The sequence below is a fragment of the Homo sapiens genome, chromosome 10 (genome assembly GCF_000001405.40).
Source record: "Homo sapiens chromosome 10, GRCh38.p14 Primary Assembly".
Lineage (NCBI taxonomy): Eukaryota > Metazoa > Chordata > Mammalia > Primates > Hominidae > Homo > Homo sapiens.
In genome coordinates this window covers 14506605-14515764 of record NC_000010.11, presented here as the reverse complement: position 1 = coordinate 14515764, position 9160 = coordinate 14506605, and the positions used below count along the sequence as shown (strand labels likewise).

At 39.8% G+C, this 9160-nt stretch overlaps 2 annotated features.

The window, feature by feature from the left end:
- Positions 7839–9110: an enhancer, noted in NCBI's record as "amplified fragment containing the chr10:14548654-14549923 (GRCh37) CAGE-defined region". NCBI's record gives its function as "transcribed enhancer in T cells {active_cell/tissue: T cell}" and the evidence as "EXISTENCE:reporter gene assay evidence [ECO:0000049][PMID:24670763]".
- Positions 8534–8593: an enhancer, noted in NCBI's record as "active region_3071". NCBI's record gives its function as "activates an Ori minimal core promoter by ATAC-STARR-seq in GM12878 lymphoblastoid cells {active_cell/tissue: GM12878}" and the evidence as "EXISTENCE:reporter gene assay evidence [ECO:0000049][PMID:35858748]".

Sequence of the window (9160 nt, the reverse complement as noted above, 5' to 3'; positions counted from 1 at the left end):
TATTCCATGGTGTATATGTGCCACATTTTCTTAATCCAGTCTATCATTGTTGGACATTTGGGTTGGTTCCAAGTCTTTGCTATTGTGAATAATGCCGCAGTAAACATACGTGTGCGTGTGTCTTTATAGCAGCATGATTTATAGTCCTTTGGGTATATACCCAGTAATGGGAAGGCTGGGTCAAATGGTATTTCTAGTTCTAGATCCCTGAGGAATCCCCACACTGACTTCCACAATGGTTGAACTAGTTTACAGTCCCACCAACAGTGTAAAAGTGTTCCTATTTCTCCACATCCTCTCCAGCACCTGTTGTTTCCTGACTTTTTAATGATTGCCATTCTAACTGGTGTGAGATGCTATCTCATTGTGGTTTTGATTTGCATTTCTCTGATGGCCAGTGATGGTGAGCATTTTTTCATGTGTTTTTTGGCTGCATAAATGTCTTCTTTTGAGAAGTGTCTGTTCATGTCCTTCGCCCACTTTTTGATGGGGTTGTTTGTTTTTTTCTTGTAAATTTGTTTGAGTTCATTGTAGATTCTGGATATTAGCCCTTTGTCAGATGAGTAGGTTGTGAAAATTTTCTCCCATTCTGTAGGTTGCCTGTTCACTCTGATGGTAGTTTCTTTTGCTGTGCAGAAGCTCTTTAGTTTAATTAGATCCCATTTGTCAATTTTGGCTTTTGTTGCCATTGCTTTTGGTGTTTTAGACATGAAGTCCTTGCCCATGCCTATGTCCTGAATGGTATTGCCTAGGTTTCCTTCTAGGGTTTTTATGGTTTTAGGTCTAACGTTTAAGTCTTTAATCCATCTTGAATTGATTTTTGTATAAGGAGTAAGGAAGGGGTCCAGTTTTAGCTTTCTACATATGGCTAGCCAGTTTTCCCAGCACCATTTATTAAATAGGGAATCCTTTCCCCATTTCTTGTTTATGTCAGGTTTGTCAAAGATCAGATAGTTGTAGATATGCGGCGTTATTTCTGAGGGCTCTGTTCTGTTCCATTGATCTATCTATATGTCTGTTTTGGTACAAGTACCATGCTGTTTTGGTTACTGTAGCCTTGTAGTATAGTTTGAAGTCAGGTAGTGTGATGCCTCCAGCTTTGTTCTTTTGGCTTAGGATTGACTTGGTGATGCGGGCTCTTTTTTGGTTCCATATGAACTTTAAAGTAGTTTTTTCCAGTTCTGTGAAGAAAGTCATTGGTAGCTTGATGGGGATGGCATTGAATCTATAAATTACCTTGGGCAGTATGGCCATTTTCATGATATTGATTCTTCCTACCCATGAGCATGGAATGTTCTTTCATTTGTTTGTATCCTCTTTTATTTCCTTGAGCAGTGGTTTGTAGTTCTCCTTGAAGAGGTCCTTCACATCCCTTGTAAGTTGGATTCCTAGGTATTTTATTCTCTTTGAAGCAATTGTGAATGGGAGTTCACTCATGATTTGGCTCTCTGTTTGTCTGTTGTTGGTGTATAAGAATGCTTGTGATTTTTGTACATTGATTTTTGTATCCTGAGACTTTGCTGAAGTTGCTTATCAGCTTAAGGAGATTTTGGGCTGAGACAATGGGGTTTTCTATATATATAATCATGTCGTCTGCAAACAGGGACAATTTGACTTCCAGTTTTCCTAATCGAATACCCTTTATTTCCTTCTCCTGCCTAATTGCCCTGGCCAGAACTTCCAACACTGTGTTGAATAGGAGTGGTGAGAGAGGGCATCCCAATCAATAGAAAAAGAGGGAATCCTCCCTAACTCATTTTATGAGGCCAGCATCATCCTGATACCAAAGCTGGGCAGAGACACAACCAAAAAAGAGAATTTTAGACCAATATCCTTGATGAACATTGATGCAAAAATCCTCAATAAAATACTGGCAAACCGAATCCAGCAGCACATCAAAAAGCTTATCCACCATGATGAAGTGGGCTTCATCCCTGGGATGCAAGGCTGGTTCAATATACGCAAATCAATAAATGTAATCCAGCATATAAACAGAACCAAAGACAAAAACCACATGATTATCGCAATAGATGCAGAAAAGGCCTTTGACAAAATTCAACAACCCTTCATGCTAAAAACTCTCAATAAATTAGGTATTGATGGGACGTATTTCAAAATAATAAGAGCTATCTGTGACAAACCCACAGCCAATATCATACTGAATGGGCAAAAACTGGAAGCATTCCCTTTGAAAACTGGCATATTTATTTTTATATTCTCCTACATATTCTGTTATACTGTCCTTTCTGGGCTTGCAGTAATTTTACCAAGACTAAAAGGAAAGAAATCCCCCCTCAGGCTAACTGAAGGAGCAAGATCTGGGTTCTTGACTGATTCTTAGGATGGAGGGCCTGGCAGCACAGTCCACGCTGCTGCAGTCATGGGCCATGGGCCCTGGACAAAGTCCTTCGTTAAAATTAATTCTTCCTTGCTTTGTCATGGAATTTTTAATATCTTGCCATTTCTTCTTTCATTTAGGAAACTTGGTGTCCTTCCCAGAAGTGGATGCTTTCATTTTGCATAGTCAGCCTGACCTACTCATTGTCTTGCCTTTTTATGATCTGTTGATCTTGTCCGTTAGTGTAATCGAAAACTTACATATGCCTGTGAATATCTCATGTAACTAGGATCATTTTGAGATTTTGTCTAGTAGAACCATCAAGTCTGTGTGGTGAACGCTTGTCCCTGAGATATTTGGCTATTTATTATCTTTGGACATAACTGCTGGATCCTCTTTTATTTGTGATCACATATGATCAAGTAGACTCCTTTATTTGTATTTATTATATGTGACCACTGATGACGATTTTATTTTGTTTTTTTGAGACAGAGTCTCAGAATTCTGTTATCCAGGCTGGAGTGCAGTGACGCGATCTTGGCTCACTGCAGCCTTGACCTCCCAGGCTCAAGCAATCCTTCCACCTCAGCCTCCCAAATAACTGGGACTACAGGCATGCACCACCATGTCTGGCTCATTTTTTTTTTATTTTTTTTTGTAGAGACAGGGTCTCACTATGTTACAGCTCAGGCTGGTCTTGAACTCCTGGCCTCAAGTGATCCTCCTTCCTCAGCCTCCCAAAATGCTGGGATGACAGGTATGTGCAACTGCGCCTGGCTTCTTTTGTCTGTTTGTACTATGTTTTTCTAGTTTATCTTATGATTTTGTTTATTCCTATAAGGATAGCTAGAAACAAACACATGTCTATGGTTTATGAAAATGTATATTCTTCATACAACATATAAAATGTCCACACATATATGAATAGTCCCTTAGCTATATCCTATAATCATCTTAATTTTGTATTACAACTCCTTTTTCTCTTGGAGTCTCTATGAATGTGTGTCCCTTTATAGACTCACCTTATAATTTTCATCTCCTTTTTTGGATGCTCAGAATATTACAGCTTGACTGGTGGAAGTCCTTCAAGCTTATTCTTTTGTTTTTGTGGGGTTTTGGTTTTTTTAAAAGTAAAATATTGCTTTTGACAGTTATGGCAGCATCCTTACTTTGTTACAACAATAGGATGTTTGGGGCCATCCTAATTTTTTTTTTTTTTTTTTTTTCTGACGCAAGACATAGGACTGTGTGCCTTTCAAGAAGTCCTGGTTTCTTTTTTGATGAAGAGTAGAAACAGAGATGATCTGGCACTAGAGGTGCACAAGAGAGTTGCTAGTGGACAAAAGTGTCCTTGCACCTGTAGTAATGACAGAGCTAAAGAATGTGAACTCATCCTTGTTTTTCCATTTCAACCCTTTATGTGGTTCTACCTTATTTTTCTTATGAGATCTTATTAAACCAGAAATATTTCCATTACACTTAGAAAGATTAGTTGCGATATTTTCTTTACAGATAAGAGTTATGAAAGGGAATTTACCAGACCAGATACCGAAACACACCTTCAAGCAACAGTAATTTAACTGGCCCAATATTGTCTCAGAGAAGACAAATTGTTCAATGGAGTGGCATAAAAAGTCCAGAAAATGACTGACTTGCGTGTCAAAATTTACAATGATTGAGGTGGGATTTTATTTCAGATCAGTTAGGAAAGGGTAAACAATTCAGTGAAAAGTTTTGGGGCAACTGGAACGAAACAAATATATATTCCTCTACATAAGAATCATTTCCAAGTTTATTAGTGTTCAGCATAAAAATAAAACTGTAGAATTATTAGAAGAAATTATAAGGGAATATTTCTATAATCCTAGTGTTGGAGGAGGCTTTCCTAAGCATAACATTTAGCCCAAAATCTATAATGAAGAAAACTGACAGATTTAACTAGTGAAAATTAAATGCTTTTGTACAAGAAAGATGTAAGAAAGGTTAAGTGTCACAGACTAAGGCATATTACATATACAGCAATACCTGGATTACATACAGAATGTCTGTAAATGTTAATCCAGTAAAAATATATATATATATGAACAGGTAATTCACAGAAGATGGAATACAAATTGTCGATCAACATATGAAGAGATGCTCACTCACTACTATCAGGAAAATGCAAACTAAACCAACAACGAAGTAACTTTATACAAATATTCACAAGGCAAATATTTAAAAGACTGATAATAGCTATGGTTGGTGAGGATGTAGAGAAGCATGTATTATATATACAACATCAGGGGAAGTGCAAATTAGTAAAGCCAATTTAAAAACATATTTTCACATGCTCTAGAATGGATATAACAAAAACGATATACAAATACAAGTGTTGACTAGGATGTGGAAAACTTGAATCCCTTGTTTTATTGCTGGTGAAAATGTAATGGCATAGGTACTTTGGAAAAGTTTGACAGTTTCTTAAGGAGTTAAACAGATTTATCATATGACCCAGCAATTCCGCTCCTAAGTATTTACCCAAGAGAAATGAAAACATACAACCACACACAGAGTCTTGCGCACAAATGTTTATAGCAAGATTATTCATAATAAAGTGTGGAAGAACCCCAAAGGTCCAAGAATTGATAAATGGACAAGCAAATGTGGTATGGCCACACAGTAGAATATTCTTCAGCCATAAAAAGGAACAAAGTACCAATAAATGCTACAACATGGATAAACTGTGAAACAATAAAACTTAAAAAAGTGCACATATCTTTTGACACGCCAATTGCATTTCTAGGAATGTGACCTTAAGAAATACTTATGTGCATAGAGATTGTTCTTCAAAGACATGTGTGGCCAGGTGTGGTGGTGTGCACCTGTAGTCATAGCTACTCTGAAGGCCAGGGTGGGAGGATCACTTGAGCCCAGGAGTTCCAGACGAGCCTGGGCATCATAGAGCAAACATTTGTTGGGCAAACATTTTTTGTCTCTAAAAAAGAAAAAAAGAAATATTTACAGCATTTATCATAATTTATCTTGCAAGCACCCTGCTTATCTAGTAGTAGTTTGCTAGATTAAGTCTAGTACATTCCCATTCTCTTTATGGACTATAATGCAGCTTTTAAAAGAACAAAATATATTATTATACATATACATAAATAAGGCTTTGAAGCTATACCCCATGAATATGTACAACTATTTTGTATCCAAAATAATTAAAAATAAAAAAATTATAAACTAAAATTCCTGAAAATAAGTATTGACCCAAATAGCCTATAAACTGAAAGAGAAAATGATATTTCTCTTAGAACACACTTTCATTTTTCTCCCTGAAGAAACCTGAAAACATTTATGGACAGACCTTTTTGTTTTTCTGTTTGGATTGACCTGAAATAAAATTTTTATTATCAACAACAAAAAGCAAGCTGTGGAACAATAGACATATGATCTCATTTATATGAAAAAAATTTTAAGTATTCATATCCATACATCTATACAAATGCTTGCAAATAGGACTGGAAGTTTACCCAACATATTAACAGTGGCTACTTCTAGGGGAGGGAAGGAATTTAAGGCCAGAAATAGAGTGGCTTCTGTATGTAATCTGCATATTTGTGATCTTTTTTTTTTCCCAAGACAGGGTCTCACTGTCGCCCAGGCAATGAGTTGATCACAGCCCGCTGCAGCCTCAACCTCCCAGGCTCAGGTGATTCTCCTACCTCAGCTTCCCGTGTAGCTGGCACTACAGGCACTCGCCACCACACCTGGCTAATTTTTCTATTTTTTGTGGAGACGGTCTCTGACTATCTTGCCCAGGCTGGTCTCAAACTCCTGGGCTCAAGCAATTCACCCTCCTCAGCCTCCCAAAGTGCTGGGATTACAGGTGTAAGCCACCGCGCCTGACCAATATCAGTATGTATTTAAAATTGTATACAATCAGAATGAGTCCCTGAATCACGAGTGTTTAAAACGGCATAAAAGCAAAGCTTAGAAACTAAGTCTGCTTAATACAAAACTATCCCTTAAATTCTAAACACTGTTAATTTCATAATTATTGACGTGTACAGTGAACACCCCATGAAAGAATACAAGAGCGGTTTCAATGTTCCCCAAACATGCAGACCTATAGTTGAAATCATCGAAGGGAAAAAAGATCTAGCGAAAAAATAGAAGCTCTGACTCCAGAGCGGCACTGAGAAATGTTTCGAGCTTTTGCCAACCCCGTAAGGGTGGAACAAAGACCTGAGCTGGGGCTCCTCGTAAGTGACCCGAGGGGTGTAGGTTTCGCCATGAAAACAGCATTGCCCTTTAGAGTTTTCCGCTGCTCCTGGGACTCCAGTGACTGCGGTTACAGCCCTCTGGTTTTCCTCCTATTGTTTTCATTGGCCGGGGTCTAAGCGACTTGGAAGTGAGGAATCGGGAGCTCTGTAATGAAATACTGCTACTCGGTGCGCGCAGGGCCCTGGGAGAGCTCCAGCTTGGCCAGTCAAGGTCTTCTTGGCAGATGTTCTTTCTTGGATGACGATGGAATTCTCTTTCCCTTCTCCCTTGATACCAGGTGGGGCCTTCATCGTATTACTAAGAGTCGATTTATTACTCTTTCCGCTCCTTCTGGTTGAATACTTGAGATAGACGCTTAGGAAAGGAGCTAGCCAAGCCCTGGAGAAATGCTGACTCTTTGGATTTAATTTATGAGGCCTAATAGAAGCCGTCACAGAGGCTGGCTAAGGGTAGAATTAGCAGCAGAGAGTAGAGGCTGCAGCCTTCCCTGCTGTGACTTCATGGTTGAAGCTTGAGGTGCAATCTCATGGGGACCTCCTTGGTTGGTTGTCCGTGGTTATTTACTCATTTAAGAGGTTCCAGGAAATAATGGCACCTGTGTTAGCCAGGTGCCAACAAACAGTGAAAGTAGCATGATTAAAAACATTTACTGTGAGGCTGGGCACAGTGACTCAACGCCTGTAATCCCAGCACTTTGGGAGGCTGAGGCGGGCAGAACACTTGAGGTCAGGAGTTCAAGACCAGCCTGGCCAACATGGGGAAACCCCATCTCTGCTAAAAATACAAAAATTAGCAGGGTGTGATGGTGCGTGCCTGTAATCCCAGCTACTTCTGGAGGCTGAGGCAGGAGAATCGCTTGAACCTGGGCGGCAGAGATTGCAGTGAGCTGAGATTGCGCTACTGCACTCCAGCCTTGGTGACAGAGCAGGACTCTGTCTCAAAAAAGAAAAAAAAAAATGCCACCCAGGAGGGAAATACCTTACACAACAGGCTGTGAACCAGAATCAGGGTTTGGAGGATCCTCCATTAGAGCTGATAGCCAGCCTATAAGCTCAACGAAGAAAAATTCACTGTGCAAAGTCACATGCATGAAGGGAATATTCTAGCTGCTGCAATGTGGCTTTAATTCAGTGAGTTGGTGCTTTGCTCTCTAGGGGAACTTGCTGGAGTTTGCTCTCTTTCTTTCCATTCCCTTTTCCTTCCTCAGTGATTTCAGTGTTTCTCAGAGATAAGCGGTCAGATCAATTAGGCACACGTGCTTACTGAATATGTTGACAAGATATCTCGCTAGGAGCTAGTTCCAGCACTGGAGGTGTTTATAATCTTGTTCAGAGATGAGACATTGCATAAGATGTAATAAATAATAAGACATGAAATAAAATGCCACATGAATACTTCGAAGATAAGAACTATAGGAGCAAATTAAGAAAAGAAAATACACACACTAAATCAAATGGTTTTATTGTTAGATAGATGTTCGTATTAATGTTCTCCGAGGGAAGCCGTGGAAATTAATGGTTCAAATGATGTTTTAAATTAAATGTAAATTTTATTTCTTCTTGATCTTCCTCTGTGCTTCCCAGACTGTTCTTCAAAAAAATATGACTGAACAGTTTGAAAAGCCAGGTTTTTTGTGAGTAGCAGTAATAGGACACTGGGGAGAGGGAGAGCAGGAAGTGGGAACAGCAAATAAGCCTGCTGCCTCCCCGATGCACAACTGCTTGCAGTGTTGCTAGGAAACACCTGTCGTTTATATCCAAAGAACTTCCTGAGGTGCTTGAGGTTAGGCTATGGGTGAGTTTTGATTTGCGTCCTAGCATTGAAATCTGAAGACCTGTGTGGTTTGCTGTGGCGTAGTCAATAACAACGAAATGGCTGGCTGTCCCCATGCACCTGCTGCGGGTACCTGGTTGCAGGAATGAATGGGGCTCTGGGGAAGTGTGTGTTTCCTGCTCAGGCTGTGTGTTTATCCATTTTCATCACAATGCCCAGCATTGGGAATACAATGCTGAGCAAAATCATATCAGCCTCTGCCTTTTTGGAGCTTAAAATGGAGTGAGGAGACAAATATTATTCAAAGAATCACAGAAATGCATGTAAAATGACAACTGTAGTGAGTGGTACAAAGAGAAGGGCAGGGAGCTGTGAAAACAGGTGCCTCTGCACCTAATGGCTGATGAGCAGAACATTAGTCTCCAGCCATTGCTGCTCTCCATGTGCCAGGCACCATGCTCAGTGCTTAACATTTGGGATCTAATGGAATTCTCACCATATTCCTATGGGGGGAACCCTGTTGTCATCTCTACTATAGAGGAGAGGGAACTGAAGGTCACCAAAGTTAAGTACAGTGGTCCCTGCTTCTCCTTGGGGGTAAATTCCAAGACTCTCATTGGGTGCCTGAAACCATGGATAGTACCAAACCCTTTATATATTATGTTTCTTCCATCTGATAACCAAGATGGCTACTGAGTGACTAATGGACCAGTAGTGTAGACCTCGTGGATATCCTGGACAAAGGGAAGATTCCCATCCTGGGTGGGATGGGGTGAGATT